This window comes from Homo sapiens, chromosome 6 (genome assembly GCF_000001405.40).
Source record: "Homo sapiens chromosome 6, GRCh38.p14 Primary Assembly".
Taxonomy (NCBI): Eukaryota; Metazoa; Chordata; class Mammalia; order Primates; family Hominidae; genus Homo; species Homo sapiens.
The window spans coordinates 134,283,742-134,303,980 of record NC_000006.12 but is presented as its reverse complement, the minus strand read 5'-3'; the positions used below and the strand labels follow the sequence as shown (position 1 = coordinate 134,303,980).

General features: G+C 43.0%; 1 protein-coding gene and 1 pseudogene across 1 annotated transcript in view, besides 3 other annotated features; both read left to right on the top strand.

The window, feature by feature from the left end:
* Positions 1-20,239, top strand: part of SGK1 (serum/glucocorticoid regulated kinase 1) — a 148,857-nt gene that overhangs the window by 14,132 nt on the left and 114,486 nt on the right. The gene's annotated exons all lie outside the window — the stretch shown is intronic.
* Positions 5,200-7,237, top strand: KRT8P42 (keratin 8 pseudogene 42; annotated as a pseudogene).
* Positions 6,835-7,336: an enhancer, noted in NCBI's record as "H3K4me1 hESC enhancer chr6:134617783-134618284 (GRCh37/hg19 assembly coordinates)". NCBI's record gives its function as "activates a minimal SCP1, AML or CMV promoter by ChIP-STARR-seq in naive H9 embryonic stem cells {active_cell/tissue: H9 hESC(naive)}" and the evidence as "EXISTENCE:reporter gene assay evidence [ECO:0000049][PMID:30033119]".
* Positions 7,814-7,913: an enhancer, noted in NCBI's record as "active region_25088". NCBI's record gives its function as "activates an Ori minimal core promoter by ATAC-STARR-seq in GM12878 lymphoblastoid cells {active_cell/tissue: GM12878}" and the evidence as "EXISTENCE:reporter gene assay evidence [ECO:0000049][PMID:35858748]".
* Positions 7,974-8,073: an enhancer, noted in NCBI's record as "active region_25087". NCBI's record gives its function as "activates an Ori minimal core promoter by ATAC-STARR-seq in GM12878 lymphoblastoid cells {active_cell/tissue: GM12878}" and the evidence as "EXISTENCE:reporter gene assay evidence [ECO:0000049][PMID:35858748]".

Sequence of the window (20,239 nt, the reverse complement as noted above, 5' to 3'; positions counted from 1 at the left end):
AGGCCGAGTCCTGGGTGTCATATAGTGTGACTTCTGCTGCATTTTATTAATCAAAAACAAAACAAAACAAAACGTCATTGGGCCAGCCCAGATTCAAGGGGAAGGAAAATAAACTTCACCTCTCAATATGAAGAGTGGCAAAGAGAAACTGTGTCAAAGTTTCTTTCTTTTCTTTTCTTTTCTTTTTTTTTTTCTTGGAGACAGAATCGTGCTGTGTCGCTCAGGCTGGAGTCCAGTGGCTGGATCATAGCTCACTGCAGCCTCAACCTCCTTGGCTCAAGTCATGGTCCCACCTCAGCCTCTCGAGTAGCTAGGACAACAGGCACCCAGCACTACTACACCTGGCTAAAACTTTCTATTTCACTAAAATATAAAATAATTTTTCAAACTGTATCCAACTGTACTGAATTTATCTATGATCTTTTTTTTAAATCTGAACATTTACAGGAGAAGAACATTAAGGACTCCTAATACGAGATCAGACAAACAGTGTTGGCCTCTTAACTAAATTGTTTCCGAGCATGGTAACATCGGGCAAGGCATTTAATATTCTAAGCCTTAACTATCTTTTTTTTTCTTTTTTCTTTTTGAGACAGAGTCTTGCTCTGTCACCCAGGCTGGAGTGCAGTGGCGCCATCTTGGCTCACTGCAAGCTCCGCCTCCCAGGTTCACGCCATTCTCCTGCCTCAGCCTCCTGAGTAGCTGGGATTACAGGCGCCTGCCACCACGCCCCGCTAATTTTCGGTATTTTTAGTAGAGATGGGTGTCACCGTGTTAGCCAGGATGGACTCGATCTCCTGACCTCGTGATCCGCCCACCTCAGCCTCCCAAAGTGCTGGGATTATAGGCGTGAGCCACTGTGCCTGGCCTCTAAGCCTTAACTTTCTAAGGCTTATCTGTAAAATGGATTTAATAATAATACCTCAGGCTGGGCACGGTGGCTCATGCCTGTAATCCTGACACTTTGGGAGGCTGAAGTGGGTGGATCACTTGAGGTTAGAATTTCGAGATCAGCCTGGTCAACATGGTGAAACCCTTTCTCGACTAAAAACATAAAAATTAGCCAGGCATGATAGCGCACACCTGTAGTCTCAGCTAGTGGGGAGGCTGAGGCAGGAGAATTGCTTGAACCCGGGAGGTGGAGGTTGCAGTGAGCCAAGATCACCCCACTACACTCCAGCCTGGGCGACAGAGTGAGACTCTGTCTCAAAATAATAAAATAATAATAATAATAACAATAATACCTCAAAGAACTGTTATGAGGATTAAATGACCTAACGCATGTAAAGTATTTAGCCCCAATGCCTGGTACGCACTAAGCACTCAAAATATGTTAGATATTATCAAGACAGACCTCAAAATTATGACCTACCTCTATAGCTTACTTTTCTGAACGTTTTGTTGTGGTGTAAGTTGTGATTTTACTGATGAGTCGGTCTGAAGACAAGCTGCTATGAAACCTCTGTGCTCTGGGATTTTATTGATTAAAGGTCATTTCTCAAAAGACCTGCACATCATCAACAGGTTGATTCTCTCATTTAGTTATTTAGTTGTTTCTATAGGCTTAGGAAGTAGTGAACATAATTAATTTATCTTCTATAGATAGTTGTCCCTGGAGCACTGCAATGGTCTAACTTCAGTGTTAAAAAGGTATTTCATTTGCGCAGGATCTCATTAAATCAAATGACACCAAATTACTCTGCTTTTTTAGTTACATATGCACAAGGCACTGAGGGACAAAAAGATATGGAAATACTTATGTCCAATGTATAATTAGTTATTGATGAGTTTTGACCTAATTTAATCAATTTAATGTGAAATTTTGTTTTCTAATCTGTCTTACATAAAGACTTAAAGTCCATTTGAAATTCAAAATCATAATCCATGTAACTCATCAACACTCTGAATGATCTTTAGAATCTCTTTATTATTCCCCATTCACTAAAATATTTCTCATTAAGGCCTCAAAAACTTGGAGGGCATTCCATCCTTCTGTTTTCTTTACTATCAAGCTCTTTTGTTTCGTATTTCTTTTGCCTTCTTGACACTTATCCATCCATATCTTAACTTTCCCTTTCAGTTTACCAGAGCAGTGGTGGCTCATGCCAATAATCCCAGTGCTTTGGGAGGTAAAGATGGGAGGATTGCTTGAGCCCAGGAGTTCAAGACCAGCCTGGGCAACACAGCAAGACCCTCAGGTCTCCAGGAAATAATAATAAAAAAAATAGCCAGGCTGGTGGCACATGCCTGTATTCCCAGTTACTCGGGAGGCTGAGGTGGGAAGATCGCTTGAGCCCAGAAGGTTGAGGTTGCAGTGAGCCATGATCACACCACTACACTCCAGCCTGGACAACAGAGTAAGACCCTGTCTCAAAAAGAAAAGAGAAGAGAAGGGAAGAGAAGAGAAGAGAAGAGAAGAGAAGAGAAGAGAAGAGAAGAGAAGAGAAGAAAAGAGAAAAGAGAAGAGAAGAAAAGGTGGTCCTTCCTGTGGACCGCTCCTCCTTGGAATACTCAGTTGTGGCTTCTGTGGCCCAGCACTCCAGCCTCTCCTCCTACTTGTGGGTGATTTCTTAGTTTCCTTTCAGGCCTTCCTGCTCTGTCTTACCAATAATGTGGGGATGGCTCAAACTCAGTCCTTGGCTCACCAGCCTCTGAACATCTTTTTGCCCTTTCCCTCTTACTGTAGTTCTCCATCTTTCTCACTTTCCCATCCACTCTCCCTCCTCCTCCACACACAGGTTCATTCATTCCTGTGCTTTAAATGTAATCTGTTATTCAGAAACTTAGTTGCCTGAATGCCAGACCTCTGTTCCCAATTGTTTACTAAACATTCCCATTGAAATGTCTCACACACATCTTGAGCTAGTCCTGTTCAAAACCCAACTCTTGATTTTTCTTCCTATTTTTCTCTATTTCAGTAAATGATACTACTACATAACTCATTTGTGAGAGTGAGAAATCTAGAAATTATTTCTCTTTCTTTTCTCCCAACGTCAGTGCAATTCATCAGCATATTCTACTGTGTTTACTTCCAAAATACATTTCTTGGCCAGGCGCGGTGGCTCACGCCTGTAATCCTACCACTTTGGGAGGCCGAGGCGGGTAGATCACCCGAGGTCAGGAGTTCAAGACCAGCCTAGCCAAGATGGTGAAACCCCCCTCTCTACTAAAAATACAAAAATTAGCCGGGTGTGGTGGCGCATGCCTGTAATCCCAGCTACTCGGGAGGCTGAGGCAGGAGAATTGCTTGAACCCAGGAGGTGGAGGTTGTAGTGAGCCGAGATCATGCCATTGCACTCCAGCCTGGGCAACAGAGCGAGACTCCATCTCCAAAAAAAAAAAAAAAAACCAAACATTTATTTTTAACTCCTTTCTCTTTATCTCCAGGGCCTATCCCTTGGTGCAAGCCACCACCATCTTTCTTTCTTTTTTTTTTTTTTTTTGAGACAGAGTCTTGCGCTGTTGCCCAGGCTGGAGTGCAGTGGCGCGATCTCGGCTCACTGCAACCTCCGCCTCCCGGGTTCATGCCATTCTCCTGCCACAGCCTCCCGAGTAGCTAGGACTACAGGCGCCCGCCACACGCCTGGCTAATTTTTTTGAATTTTTAGTAGAGTTGGGGTTTCACCATGTTAGCCAGGATGGTCTTAATCTTCTGACCTCGTGATCTGCCCGTCTCGGCCTCCCAAAGTGCTGGGATTACAGGCGTGAGCCATTGCGCCCCGCCTGCCACCACCATCTTTCACCTTAACTCATCTCTTAACTCATCTCTCCCCATCTTCTTTCTCCCTGCCTTTCCCTCCTTAACATCCCCATGAAAAAATTACAGCACTTTAGACAAATTAACATCTTTCTCATAGTAATAAGGTTTTCCTGAGGGAAGAAGGCATTGAGAGAGAAAAGTACTTCCCTAGAGTCACATAGAGAAATGGCAAATATGATGTTAGAAGCCAGGTTCCTTTTTTAGTGGCAATAAACTCTCTTATTTTCTCAGTTATCTGCTGTGTGTTTTTTTTCTCTCTCTCTTTTTGACTTACTTTCTTTTTTTGAATTAAAAAAGCATTTTATTTTGTGAAGAATTGAGGTATTTGGACCTTCTTGAGTATAGGTGATGCTAACATGCTTTAGTTTAAATTTCATTATCCGACTCCTCCAAACTCAGGGCAAAAAAAAAAAAAAAGTCACAGGGATTGGAAAAGCTACCAGAGGCTCTAAAAACCTGTCAGAAGGAAATGCCTAAACTAGAATGAACAGGCATATCCAAACATTGAGTATTTCCACATTGGAAATCTTTTTTTTTAAGTGGTTTACTAAGCCAGAGTTTAATAATTATGCTAATGAGCATACTTGTTATGAGTTTTACTGTATGTCAGCCAACCACTCTGCATAGTTTTCAAAGTCCTCCCTGTTCTGCACACATCAGCATACCTTACCTCACTCCCTTCACTTCTTGGCATAACTCCCCACCTCTGATCTCTCAGGAAGCTTGTTTTGCTCACAATTTCACCCTTACTCCACACTTAGCTAAATTCTGCATATGTTTCCAGAGCCAGCTTTTGTTCCATGTGATCTATGACACTTACTCAGCTATTATTTTTTTTGTTTTGTTTGTTTTGTTTGAGATAAGGTCTAGCTCTGCTGCCGAGACTAGAAGGCAGTGGCACAATCACAGCTCACTGCATCCTCGACCTCACTGGCTCAAGCGATCCTTGCACCTCAGCCTCCAGAGTAGCTGGAACTATAGGCATGAGCTGCCATGCCTGGCTTTTTTTTTTTTTTTTGTAATTTTTTTGTAAGGATGAGGTTTCCCTGGGTTATCCTGGCTGCCAGCTACTGTGAATTGCACAGATTGCTTTCTTTAAATGCAATTAAATTAAGAGCTGAGAGCTGGGTGCTGTGGCTCACACCTGTAATCCCAGCACTTTGGCAGGTCGAGGCAGGTGGATCACGAGGTCAGGAGATTGAGACCATTCTGGCCAGCATGGTGAAACCCCTGCTCTACTAAAAATACAAAAATTAGCTGGGCATGGTAGTGCATGCCTGTAATCCCAGCTACTCAGGAGGCTGAGGCAGGAGAATCACATGAACCAAGGAGGTAGAGGTTGCAGTGAGCCGAGATTGAGCCACTGCACTCCAGCCTGGGCGACGGAGAGAGACTCCATCTCAAATAAATAAATAAATAAATAAATAAATAAATAAGAGCTGAATGCTATCAAGAAGCAGCTTCTTCACTCCTTCTGGAATCTCTGCCTGGTTCAGCCCGCCTGCCTCCACTCCTGCCTCCACCATGTCCATCAGGGTGACCCAGAAGTCCTACAAGTTGTCCATCTCTGGCCCCCGGGCCTTCAGCAGCCGCTCCTACACGAGTGGGCCCAGTACCTGCATCAGCTCCTCAAGCTCCTCCTGAGTGGGCAGCAGCAGCTTCCAGGGTAGCCTGGGTGGAGGCTATGGTGGGGCCAGCGGCATGGGAGGCATCACTGCCGTCACAGTCAACCAGAGCCTGCTGAGCCCACTTAATCTGGAGGTGGATCCCAACATCCAGGCCTGCGCACCCAAAAGAAGGGGAAGATCAAGACCCTCAGCAACAAGTTTGCCTCCTTCATAGGCAAGGTACGGTTCCTGGAGCAGCAGAACAAGATGCTAGAGACCAAGTGGAGCCTCCTGCAGCAGCAGAAGACAGCTTGGAGCAACATGGACAACATGTTCGAGAGCTACTTCAACAACCTTAGGCGGCAGCTGGAGACTCGGGGCCAGGAGAAGCTGAAGCTGGAGGCAGAGCTTGGCAACATGCAGGGGCTGGTGAGGATGAGATCAATAAGCTTACAGAGATGGAGAATGAATCTGTCCTCATCAAGAAGGATGTGGATGAAGCTTACATGAACAAGGTAGAGCTGGAGTCTCACCTGGAAGGGCTGACTGACGAGATCAACTTCCTGAGGCAGCTGTATGAAGAGATCGGGAGCTGCAGTCCCAGATCTCGGATACGTCTGTGATGCTGTCCATGGACAACAGCCGCTCCCCGGACATGGACGGCATCATCACTGAGGTCAAGGCGCAGTACGAGGAGATCACCAACCGCAGCCGGAGTGAGGCTGAGAGCATGTACCAGATCAAATATGAGGAGCTGCAGATGCTGGCTGGGAAGCACGGGGATGACCTGCAGCATACAAAGACTGAGATCTAGGCCGGGCGCAGTGGCTCACGCCTGTAATCCCAGCACTTTGGGAGGCCGAGGCAGGCTGATCACGAGGTCAGAAGTTCAAGACCAGCCTGACCAACAGGGTGAAACCCTGTCTCTACTAAAAATACAAAAATTAGCCTGGGGTGGTGGTGCACGCCTGTAATTGCAGCTACTCAGGAGACTGAGGCAGGAGAATCCCTTGAACCTGGGAGGCGGAGCTTGCAGTGAGCCGAGATCGTGCCACTGCACTCCAGCCTGGGCGACAGAGTGAGACTCTGTCTCAAAAACAAGACAGAGATCTCCAAGATGAACCGGAACATCAGCTGGCTCCAGGCTGAGACTGAGGGTCTCAAAGGCCAGAGGGCTTCCCTGGAGACTGCCATCGCAGATGCCGAGCAGCATGGGGAGCTGGCTGTTAAGGATGCCAACGCCAAGCTGTCTGAGCTGGAGGCCGCCCTGCAGCGGGCCTAGCAGGACATGGCGCGATAGCTGCGTGTGTACCAGGAGCTGATGAACGTCAAGCTGGCCCTGGACATTGAGATCGCAACCTACAGGAAGCTGCTGGAGGGCTAGAAATGCCGGCTGGAGTCTGGGATACAGAATGTGAGTATCCATACGAAGACCACCAGCGGCTATGCAGGTGGTCTGTGCTCAGCCTATGGGGGCCTCACAAGTCCCAGCCTCAGCTACGGCCTGAACTCTAGCTCCTTCAGCCACATCAGCTCCACCAGGGCTGTGGTTGTGAAGAAGATCGAGACCCGCAATGGGAAGCTGGTGTCCAAGTCCTCTGATGTCCTGCCCGAGTGAACAGCCATGGCAGCCCCTCCCAGCCTGCCCCTCTTGCGGCTGCCCCAGAGCCCAGGAGGGAGGCCCCTGTGCAGGGTAGGACAGGGAACAGGAGACCCACCTGAGGCTCAGTCCTAGCCCTCAGCCCACGTGCGGGGAAGTTTACTGCTTGGGGACCCCCCCTTGCCCATGCCTCCAGCTACAAAACAATTCAACTGTTTTTTTTTTTTTTTTTTTTTTGGTCCAAAATAAAACCTCAGCTAGCTCTGCCAAAAAAAAAAGAGCTGAATGCTTTTTCAACTCTTAGTAAATACTAATTTCTACAATAATTATCCTTTACTGATTGATTATAATGAACAAGTAGCATTTCCAAAACACTTAATTGACAAAATGGGCCAGGCATGGTGTGGTTCACGCCTGTAATCTCAGCACTTTAGGAGGCTGAGGCAAGAGGGTTGCTTGAGTCCGGGAGTTCAAGACCAGCTTGGGCAACAAAGTGAGATCCTGGTGTTGGCAGTGTAGTGGTGAGCATAGCTGCCTTCCAAAGTGAGATCCTGTCTCTACAAAAAATGAAAAAGTTAGCTGAGCACAGCAGCATATGCCTGTAGTCCTAACTACTTGGAAGGCTGAAGTGAGAGGATTGCTTGAACCAGAAGTTGGATGCTGCAGTGAGCTAAAATTGCCCCACTGCACTCCAGCCCGGCCAACACAGCAATATCTCGCCTATAAAAACAATAATATGATAAACAAAATGAAAAATTTACAAAATGTCCAATGATCATCTCTCCCTTGTGACTCACAACTCAGGAATGCTGGTGTCCTTAGCCTTGCTTTGCCAGTGAGGATACTGGTCATGAGGAAGCATAAGTAACTTCCCCATGGTCACACAGATAAGAAGACTCACGTCGACTGATGACATTTGAGATTCTCTTCCCATTACATCACATGACTTCTCTGGCAACTACTGTGGTTTTTCGCTGAGCATTCTATGCTGACCATCTGTTACAGCAGGAACTTGAGAAAATTGAAGTGAACTTCTTTGTTCTCATGCTTACATTCAGATTCTTCATCCTAGGAGTAAAAGAGAATCCACTTTTAATTCTACCTTCTAAATTGCCATGGGTTCCCACTCCCATGTCCTTACTGACTGTCTGCATTGCCATTTCCCAAGCTCAGGCCACCTTGAACCTTACCTGGAGAACTGCTACCATCTTTTTAATGGCCTCTTGCTACTGTCCTGCTCCTGGCCTCCTGCAACTATTCCCCATAGAATCCTCCAGGTTGCCATCTATAGGGCTTTTTTTTTTTTTTTCTGAGATGGAGTCTCACTCTGTTGTCTAGGCTAGAGTGCAGTGGCACGATCTCAGCTCACTGCAACCTCCGGGTCCCAGGTTCAAGCGATCCTCCTGCCTCAGTCCCCCAGTAGCTGGGATTACAGGCACGCACCACCATGCCCAGCTAATTTTTGTATTTTTAGTAGAGACAAGGTTTCGCCATGATGGCCAGGCTTGTCTCGAACTCCTGACCTCAGGTTATCCACCTGCCTTGGCGTCCCAAAGTGCTGGGATTACAGGTTTGAGCCACCACACCTGGTCCTAGAAGGGCTTTCTAAAATACAAGTGGGACCTTGATATCCCTGTGCTTAAAATATGTCAGTGGTTTATTGTGACTCTCAAAACAGAGCCCTAATTCCTTACCCTTATATTTATATAGCTGAGATGGGGCCCTGGCTCAGCTCTCTGCCCCCTCGTCTCTTCTTCTTTCTCCTGCTTCTCCTTCCTCATCCATTGGACTCCATTCTCCAACCATGCAGAATAGCTTACTCTTCCCCAACTGCACTATCCAGCTACCCAGCCAAGGGCTCTTAACCCAGCATCCAGACATCCCTTGGGGGGCAGGAGAATGTCAATGGAGGAAATTCAGAACTTGGATGAAAAAAAAAATTACATATTCATTTTCACTCATCTCTAGCTGAAATCTAGTCTCTCCAATTATAAATGTAGCCAAAAACCACAATCGTTTTACCAGGACCTGCAATTTTGTCACTAATAAAAATCATAGATATTTTCATGTCATATGACAGTTGTTCAAGGCACCATATCGTTTATGCTCATCATTACTGAGAAATTTACAGTAATTATTAGCTTTCCTCTAGACTTTGTTATCTAACACATTAATAAAGATTCACTGGCTGGGCGTGGTAGCTCACGCCTGTATTCCCAGCACTTTGGGAGGCCAAGGGGGGAGGATCAGGAGTTCGAGACCAGCCTGGTCAACATGGTGAAACCCCGTCTCTACTAAAAATACAAAAATTAGCTGGTTGGGGGGGTGGTGCACATCTGTAATCCCAGCTACTCAGGAGGCTGAGCCAGGAGAATCACTTGAACCCTGGAGGCGAGGGTTGCAGTGAGCCGAGATAATGCCATTGCACTCCAGCCTGGGTAACAAAGTGAGCCTCCATTTCAAAAATGAAATAAAATAAACACAAATTTATAAGTAAAATACTTGGTCACAAAAGGACAAATGCTGTATAATTCAATTTACATGAGGTACTTAGAGTAGTCCCATTTATAGACAGAAAGTAGAATGGTCCTTGCCAGGGACTAGGGAAGAAGGGGGATGAGGAATTACTATTTCATGGGTATGGAGCTTCAGTTTGGGAAGATGAAAACAGTTTTGGAGACTGGATAGCGGTGATGGTTGCTCAACAACGTCATTGTACTAATGTGACCAAACTGCACACTTAAAAATGGCTAAAGTGGTAAATTTTATGTGATGTATATTTCATCACAATGAAAAAAAATACAGCACAGTATATTAGATGGGAAACGTGCTGAAGAAAAATAAAGACAGGAAGGTGAGTAGGAAGGACCAAGGGATCAGAGGCCAAGATAGGCTTCACTGCCAAAGGGTTCTTTGCTGTTGTTTTTGCTCAGGACCTGAGCTATCTGCACAGCCACATGTTCAGAAAAACTTGCAACATGACCTGAATCTTCATCTGATTGTCAGTGGGCGCAAAAGTGAACCTTTTCTCATGTGTGTTGCTAAAATCCTAAAAACCGAATGCCTTTCATTCACCTAGCACCTTCTGGATGTACACAGGTGAAATCCTCAAGAGGAATAATGGGATGTCAAATTGTTACTGGGATGTGGCCATTTATCTTTCCATTTGTCTGCATTTTAGTTTGACATGAGCACTTTTCTGCCATGCGTCATCAAGGAATTATGAGGCCATTTGAGGAGGTGAAATGACTAGTTTTTGTAAATCAGATAATTATATCTGATTTATGTCTTCAGTGTCTCCATAAATCATCTTAATATTCAGGCTTCCTTGAGTTTGGCCTTATACTATTAACTTTTTCCTAACTCACGAAAGATAACCAATGTGGATTCCAAGTCTGCTTCCTTTTAGTAAGTGGTCTGATTTCTGTTCTTTTTGACATTTAAGTAGAAGATAGAAGTTCTTATTAAAGTAAATATTATCAAATCTTGAGGTTTAAAGGTTTGATATCAAAGTTTTATCTACACAATGTCAAAACCTGTTTGTAAAGTGAAACTTCTATCTAATCAAGGCTGTATGAATGTCAATCATACAGCCTAGGTGTTTTTGCTTGTTTTTCTTTTTAATAGTAGTTTGGCAAATAAATAAACACTGATCTAACTCTCTCATTTGCCTCTAACCTTAAGTTTTTACCATTTGGGGACATTGACCAGCAAAGCCTCTTGAAATATTAAGGCTAATACTCCTTTGCAATGTTATCTTGGTAAGTTGTAACTATTTAAGACATTTTTTGAAATATACAAATTGTTTTCAATGTAATAGTGAGATTTGTACAGCTTATTAGAAACTGGCAAATTATGAGCCATTTTACATTATCTAGATCCTAAAGTACAGATTGCAGGAGCTTAATTCTTCAGAACTTAAAAATATTCTCTCCCTCTTCGTGTCTTTTATGGCACACAGATGAAAACAGGGAGTTTATCTGAAAGCACAGTCTGGAAACAAGAGAGTTATCCAATTATGAAGATGATATACGATTTAGGGAATCACCTTCCGTGCCCATGGTGCTGTCATTTAATTTCCCTCTTTTGTCTTTTTTTATTCTGTCAAGTGAGAACTCTGACATTTTGATCATTGGGAAGATGTATCAGTAGTACTTCCAACCTTCTTTAAAAGACGGAAATATTTAAGTGACTGTTCAAGTCAGAATTCTTGATAGAGTAAGTGACTAGCTTAAGTGTTTTAAGGTCAGTCATGTCTACTGCCAAAAGCTTTTTACAGCCATTTCTTTCCTATTCAAATGCATTTTGGATCCTTTTCATCTTTTTCTCTCACTTTTCTGTATCTACTTAATCTAATGTTTGTAAAATAATTCCTTCTCCTAGAACATATAACCTATTCCTGGGCTTCATTTTCTTTTTTTTTGAGACAGTCTCACTTTGTCACCCAGGCTGGAGTGCAGTGGCGCAATCTCGGCTCACTGCAGCCTCTGCCTCCTGGGTTCAAGCTATTCTCCTGCGTCAGCCTCCCGAGTAGCTGGGATTACAGGCGCCAGCCACCACCCCCAGCTAGTTTTTGTATTTTTAGCAGAGACGGGGTTTCACCATGTTGGCCAGGCTGGTCTTGAACTCCTGACTTCAGGTGATCCACCCGCCTCGGCCTCCCAGAGTTTTGGGATTACAGGCATGAGCCACCGCGCCCGGCCCCCTGGGCTTCATTTCAAAACAAATTCCATTTGTGCAGAGTAATGAAGTCTTTGAGGTTTCACTAAAGGAACTTCTCTGGGTGTCACTTTCCTCATCTGTAAAACGAGTCTCACTTTCTTTGTCTATAAAATGGCAAAAGTTTGCTTCACCTCTAAGAGTGTACAATTTCTACAAAATGATTTGTTGTCTTGCCATAATATGTGTCAAAAAACAAAATTTCAAAAAATCTAGTGTTTTTTTTTTTTTTGAGAGAGAGTCTTGCTCTGTCACCCAGGTTGGAGTGCAACGGTGTGATCTCAGTTCACTGTAACCTCCGCCTCCTGGGTTCAAGGCTTGTCCCTCAGCCTCCTGAATAGCTGGGATTAAAAGCACGTGCCACCATGCCTGGCTATTTTTTGTATGTGTATTTTTAGTAGAGACGGAGTTTCACCATGTTGGTCAGGCTGGTCTCGAACTCCTGACCTCAAGTGATCTGCCTGTCTTGGCCTCCCAAAGTTGTTGGATTACAGGCGTGACCCATCGTGCCTGGCCACAAATGTAGTTTAAAGATTTCAGTTGGCTTTATTGCAATTTTAGAATCAGGCAACAGTTCATCCCATAAAATAGAATAAGTGTTCCAATCAGCTAAGCAAAGGGGATTAGCTTTATATAGACAGAGGAGGCCTGAAGAAAGAAACAAAGAACAAAGAGTTATTCGTCATTTTAAGGCTACTTTCCTTGTGAGGCAGAACAGGGAGACAGAACAATAGAAAAACAACTGATTAACATTAGGTGTCTTTAGGCCACTTTTCTTGCATAAGGATCAAAGCAAAGAAGGCTTTATTATCATGCCAACTGAAGACTGAAACTGGGCTGTGTGGGATATTGGCTGTTATCTCTCTTTGGATTTCTCGTAAGGTCAGATAACAACTTAGTTTGGGTTTGCTGATGTGGAACTGTAGCATAGGTGACTCCATTTTGATTTTTAGTCCGGTCTGTTGGGGCCTAGTGCAGGAGCTTAGTTCAACAGCCTCCTGTAATTTTTATTTTAAGTGTGTAACTAATGCCTACATCCACCGCTCTGCTACAGTAAGGAGGCCTGATTGATTCTCCTCTGGACTCCTTCAGAGGGCTCCTAACAGGGCGCTTCACTGCCTACCTTTCACTCCAAATCATCCCACACGTGGCTGAGCTGCAGCTCAGTATCTAATATGCAAGTCCTATTAAGATGTAGATTAGAGGCATGGACCTGGTTTGCTCACTGAATTCATTGCAAACCCTTAATGTGGCACCCAAGGCCCTCAGCAACAAGCCCTCAAGCAACCTTTCCTGCCTTCTCATCATCTTCTTCCCTACCTGCCTCTCAAATCACTCATCCATTCACTTCAATATATTTTTTGAGGACTGAATATGTGCTGAGCCCTCTGCTAGGTGCTAGAAACAATGATGGGCCAAACCAGATAAGTTCCAGGCAGGGCCCTGCACATGTAAAGCCCTGGGTGGGAAGACATGAGTAGTTTATAGGAGGTGGCCCAGAGACTTCTGTGGCTCAAGCAGAGAGCCTGAAAATAGGGAATATGTTTGAACAGCAAAGTAGAAAATAAACTAGCTAGGACTTCGCAGGCCTCCTTAAGAAGTTCTGTCATTATCTGAGGCACAATGAGAAGCTCCATGTATTGAACAGAGCTGCAGCGCCCTGCCATTTTCCTCCCCTAAGTTATTGCTTCTACGGGTCCTTCACTGTGAACTACACTCTTCATTTTTTCTGTCTCTGCTTGCTCAACTCACAACCATTATTTGGAACATTAATTTCAAGTGCCATCTCTTCCATGGAAAATGTCCTCCTCATCCCAAACCAAATGGAGCTTGTATTGCTGTCATTTGTCTTTGTTTTTTTTTTTTGACAGAAAATCACAGATTTATTGAAACAAAAGTACACTCCACAGAGTGGGAGTAGGCTCCAACAAGTCTTTTTCTTTTCTTTTCTTTTCTTTTCTTTTTTTTTTAGAGGCAGGGTCTTGCTGTGTCACTCAGGCTGGAGTGTAGTGGCAAGATCATAGCTCAGTGCAGCCTCGAACTCCTGCGCTCAAACAATCCTCCCACCTCAGCCTCCTGAGTAGCTAGGACTACAGATGTATGCCAACATGCATAGCTAATTTTTTTTTTTTTTTTTTTTTTTTGAGAAGGAGCTTTGCTCTTGTTGCCCAGGCTGGAGTGCAATGGCGTGGTCTCGGCTCACTGTAACCTCCCCCTCACGGGTTCAAACAATCCTCCTGCCTCAGCCTCCTGAGTAGTGGGATTACAAGTGCCTGCCACCACGCCCAGCTAATTTTTGTATTTTTTTAGTAGAGATGGGGTTTCACCATGTTGGTAAGGCTGGTCTTGAACTCTTGATCTCATGTGATCCACCCGCCTCAGCCTCCCAAAGTGCTGGGATTACAAGCATGAACCACTGCACCAGGCCACATAGCTACTTTTTTATTTTTTGTAGAGACAGAGGTCTCACTGTGTCGCCCAGGCTGGTCTTGAACTCCTGTGCTCAAGTGATCCGCTCGCCTCAGCCTCTGTATGTCTTTTTCTCTGCTACATATGAGACCTATAGGGTCTGATGTGGTAGCCACCAGCTACATGTGACTATTGAGCACCTGAATTGTGGCTAGTCTGAATCGAGATGTACTTTAGATGTAAAATACATACCAGATTTTAAACACAGTATGGAAAAAAAAAGAGAATATAAAATATTTCATTAATAATTTTATATTAAGTACAATTTAGAATGATAATGTTGGGGGTACATTGAGTTAAATAAAGTATATGTTTGAAATTAATTTCATGTTTCTTTTTACTTCACTTAATGTGTCCATTAGAACATTTACATTGTGTCTGTGGTTTATATTCTATTCCTATTGGACTGCACTCCTCTAGACTATACACTTCCTGAGTAGTAAAGGCTTATCCAATTATTCATCTGTTTATCCCCCAGGGAACACTAGCTTGTTCATAGTGGAAGAATCAATGAATATTGTTTAAATTCATTGCCAATTAAAAGAAATACTTTGCAATTTTAGTACACTACCTCCTTTCCACCTGAAATGTGCAGCCGAACTCCACAGTGAAAATGGGTAGACAAGGGAGACAGAGTTTTTTCCAGCCCCTATGAAGGCTAAAGGTATGGAACATGTGGTGTGGTCATGGAGGACACAGCAAGCCAAGACTGCTGATTCAGACAGGTTTCTCTATTTCCAAAACAAGAACTTTTATTGCAGAGTATGGAGGGAGCATTAGGACAGGAGGATCTTTGTGGTTTCTCACTGTATCTGTGGAAAAAATCTGAGGTTAAGGTTTAAATTAAACTGACATTTAAAAGAGCCTTTGTAGGCTCTTACTATGTGTATGTTAGCATCTGTTGCTATAGCTAAACTGACACTGATTATTATGAATGATGCTTTATGAGTGATGGAATAAAAATGTGGTTTCCTGCTTATGGACATTTCCTGGTGTTGGTTTCATCCTCTTTAATGATGAGATCAAGACCAGGGAAAATTACTAAGAGTATAGAAAACGTATCACAAAGAAAATATTATTAGGATACCAAGCATTTCTGAGATGGAAAAAAAAGTATTTAGAACTTCCGAATACCGCCTCTGTAATTTTATGAATTGTTTTGTTTCTGCTGGCTTCTGGTTTTGCAATCAGTTCTCCTTATGATTCACAGAGGCTCCCTCATGACTACCTTCACATGTGTTCCCCTTTTTGTTCAGAGACCTCTGAGGATGAACCAATGTATTTCTCATCATAAAATGGTTGAAGACATCTCTTTGCCCATTAGAAAGCCTAATTTCAAGGATTTTATGTTTTACCCTTGGAAAAGATGTTTAGTTTTAAACAGGCTTTTTCTCCAGGCGTATTTTCTACTGATCTCACAAAAGAGCTTCTGCTTCAACCAGACCTGTCTCCTCACTGTTCCTTGAAATGCCACTAGTTCTCTGTGTTTATTGCAACCTCTATCCTGCTACTGACCAAGGGTTCTCTCTGAATGTTTTACATTCAGACTCCACTTAAAAACTTGTCAGATTGCTACTGAAGTTTAAGTATGGAAAGAATTCTTGTAGTAGCCCTTCCCATAGGGCAATATCTCTTTTTACCATAACCAAGTTGCTCCTGTTTTAGCTTAGGCTAAACTTAATTTGCCTTCATTTTCCCCAGCTGTAAGAAGGGTCTTGGTAAACACTAACCTTCCGGTCTGAGTCATGTTTAGCCCTCATGATCTGAAGACATCCCAAGAGATCTCTTGTCTTAGTTTATGTTCCTTATCATTTTATCTATTAGAGTCACATCTTAGGTTAGGTAAGGAGATGGCATCTTTGTGTAAGACAAAATAACAAACATGAAAAGCTATGTTTACTCATTTCTGCTTGCCAACAAAGTAACTTCACAAAGCTCCTGACTCTGTGACAACATACAGCTCTCCAAAAGATACTTTAACAACAAAACAAAATAGAGCACAGGGTCCCCTATGTCTCTTGCATAGTACAAAATTACTTTCCATAAAAAAACTCTAATACATGTAAATACAAAAACACACAATTCATCTTAAAATGTACAAATTGATATTCTAACTTTATTAAGTCATTATCACATTTTCCAATCTACAACTCACTTTAATACTATTAAATATATACTATTATACACAACCTATACTATCCTTATAGTAGTCTTATTAAAATATTATATTAAATATAAAAAACCAAATCACAGTAAATAAAAAATAAATACAATCCAAAACGTATTTTCCAATAAATAGACAAATATACACACTAGGCCCAATACTCATTCCTTACTCCTACAACTCAAAATTACCAATCTTCCTTAAAAAAAAAAAAAAAGCCTTCTTATCTATATAAACAATCATTAATCTTATAAATACAACCAGACAATTAATTTATAACAAAAAAATTTATAGGACAAAATAACAAACATAAAAAAATTATATTTATTCATTTCTACTTGCCAACATAATTTTACAAAACTCCTGACTCTATAACATATAATTCTCCAAGGCTGGGAGTGGTGGCTCATGCCTGTAATCCCAGCTATCTGGGAGCCCGAGGCAGGTGGATCATTTGAGGTCACAAATTTGAGACCAGTCTGGCCAACATGGTGAAACCCCATCTCTACCAAAAACACAAAAATTAGCTGGGCATGGTGACATGTGCCTGAAGTCCCAGCTACTTGGGAGGCTGAGGCTAGAAAATTGCTTGAACCCAGAAGGTGGGGGTAGCAGTGAGCCAAGATGGTACCACTGTGACACTCCGTCTCAAAAAACAAAACAAAAAAAGACTTCTCCAAGAAAATACTGTAGAGACAAAACAAAATAAGACATACAACTCCCAAATGCCCCCAACCTCTCTTTACCTAAATCACTATATTCCTTAAAAAATAAAAAGCCCTAGTCCTTGTCTTTTTCTACACACAAAATAATGTCTAACAAAATTAATAATTATACTTCTATAACCTATAACCAGATAACTAAATATACTCTTTTTTAAAAATTTGTGTTTTTAGGCCAGGCACAGTGGCTCACGCCTGTAATCTCAGCACTTTGGGAGGCTGAGGCGGGCGGATCACAAGGTCAGGAGATTGAGACCATCCTGGCTAACACGGGGAAGCCCCGTCTCTACTAAAAAATACAAAAAAATTAGCCGGGCATCGTGTCCCAGCCTGTAGTCCCAGCTAATCTGGAGGCTGAGGCAGGAGAATGGCTTGAACCCGGGAGGCGGAGCTTGCAGTGAGCCGAGATCGCGCCACTGCACTCAGCGAGACTCCGTCTCAAAAAAAAAAAAAAAAAAAAATATTGTATTTTGTTTTTAGACAAGGTCTTGCTCTGTGCTCTGTCACCCACGCTGGAGTGCAGTGGCAATCACGGCTTACTGCAGCCTTAATCTCCCAGGCTCAGGAGGTCCTCCTACCTCAGCCTCCCAAGCAGTTGGGACTACAGGTGTGCACCACCATGCCCAGCTAATTATTTTATTTTTTGTAGAGACAGGCCTCCTAAAGTGTTGGGATTACAGGCATGAGCCACGAGGCGCAGCCCAAATATACTCTTACGTTCAAACCTTAATATAATTCTACTTTAATATAACTTCTAAACAAATCTAATACAATTTTATACATACTAAACCTCCACCACCTGTATATAAATAGATTAAAATATTAGCCAAAACAGGTTACTAACGAAACCTCTCTACAAACTACTTCCAGACTGTAGTCATCAGTCTACAGCCTGCAATAAGACTTCTAAAGAAAACTCACTTTAATTCTTTAAAAACTTATTTTTGTTTGGTTTGGTTTTAGTCAACACTTTTCACAAGAAAATTACTGGTGAAGTGGGACAGTCCACCTTGGAAGGCAAACTCTTCAGCAACTCCGTCCTCTCAGCCAATACCAGTCAGTTGTTCCTAACATTTGTTTCCCAGCAAATTTTATCTTTTTATCCCTTAAAAAAAATACTGACCTTTAGCACAAGTTAATGGTCTCTTATTTTACAGACATCTTTATCCTTACAGAATAGATGTGTTACAAGGAAACGAAAACTGAAAGAAAAAAAAACCCCATCAAAAAGTCAACAAAGGACATGAATAGACAATTCTCAAAAGGAGATATACAAACAGCCAGCAAACATATGAAAAAAATGCTCAGCATCACTAATTATCAGGGAAATGCAAATTAAAACCACAATTAGATACCACTTTACTCCTGCAAGAATGGCCATTATGAAAAAGTAAAAAAAAAAAAAAATTGATGCTGGTGCGGATGTGGTGAAAAGGGACCACCTTTTTTTTTTTTTTTTTTTGAGGCAGAGTCTCACTCTGTCGCCCAGGCTGGAGTGCAGTGGCAGGATCTCAGCTCGCTGCAACCTCTGCCTCCCTGGTTCAAGTGATTTTCCTTCCTCAGCCTCCTGAGTAGCTGGGACTACAGGCATGCACCACCATGCTTGGCTAATTTTTTGTATTTTTAGTAAAGATGGGGTTTCAACATGTTAGCCAGGCTGGTCTCGAACTCCTGACCTCAGGCAATCTGCCGACCTCAGGCAATCTGCCCACCTCGGCCTCCCAAAGTGCTGGGATTACAGGCGTGAGCCACCGAGCCCAGCCAAAAGGGAGCACTTTTACACTGCTGGTGGGAATGTAAACTAGTGCAACCACTATGGAAAACAGTAGAGAAATTCCTTAAAGAACTATAAGTAGAACTACCATTTGATTCAGCAATCCCACTACTGGGTCTCTACCCAAAAGAAAAGAAGTCATTACACGAAAAAGACACATGAACATGCATATTTATAGCAGCACAATTCGCAATTGTAAAGATACAGAACCATCCTAACTGCCCATCAGCCAATGAGTGGATAAAAAAAATGTGATATATACACACCAAGGAATACTACTCAGCCATAACAAAGAACAAAATAATGTCTTTTGCCACAACTTGGGTGTAGCTGGAGGCCATTATTCTAAGTGAAATAACTCGGGAATGGAAAACCAAATATTGGCTGGGTGTGGTGGCTCATGCCTGTAATCTCAGAACTTTGGGAGGCCAAGGCAGGCAGATCACCTGAGGTCAGGAGTTAGAGACCAAACTGGCCTGTTGGTGAAACCCTGTCTCAACTAAAAATACAAAAATTAACTAGGTGTAGTGGTGTGCACCTGTAGTCCCAGCTACTTAGGAGGTTGAGGCAGGAGAATCGCTTGAACCTAGGAGGTGGGGTGGCAGTGAACTGAGATCATTCCATTGTACTCCAGCCTGGGCGATAGAGTGAGACTCTATCTCAAAAAAAAAAAAGAAAGAAAGAAAGAAAGAAAAAGCCAAATATCATATGTTCTCACTTCTAAGTGTGAGCTAAGCTCTGAGTATGTAAAGGCATAAGACTGATGTGATGGGCCGGCTGCAGTGGCTCAGGCCTTTAATCCCAGCACTTTGAGAGGCCAAGGAGGTGGGCAGATGGCTTGAGGTCTGGTGTTCGAGACCACCCTGTTCAACATGGTGAAACCCTGTCTCTACTAAAAATACAAAAATTGCCAGGCGTGGTGGTGTGCACCTGTAGTCCCAGCTACCTGGGAGGCTGAGACAGGAGAATTGCTTGAACCTGGGAGGCAGAGGTTGCAGTGAGCTGAGATTGAGCCACTGCACTGCAGCCTGGGTGACAGAGTGAGACTCCATCTCGAAAACAAACAAATAAACAAAAAGAATATTTGAACATATAAAGGAATGGATTGGCACTGATAAAATAGCATAATACCCCAGATGAACACCAAACTGGAAATAAAATTGTAAAGAGATAAAGAGCTATAAGGAAGGGACTCATTTAATGCCTGAAACCCAAAATGCATTATTTTGGCACTTAAAAGAGTGAAAGATTGGTCAGGCTTTTTTTTTTTTTTTTTTTTTTTTTTTTTTTTTGGTGGTGGCAGGGGACAGCGTCTTGTTCTGTTGCCCAGGCTGGAGTGCAGTGCTGCGATCATGGCTCATTGCAGCCTCAACTTCACTGCAGCCTTGACCTTCTGGGCTCAAGAGATCCTCCCACCTCGGCCT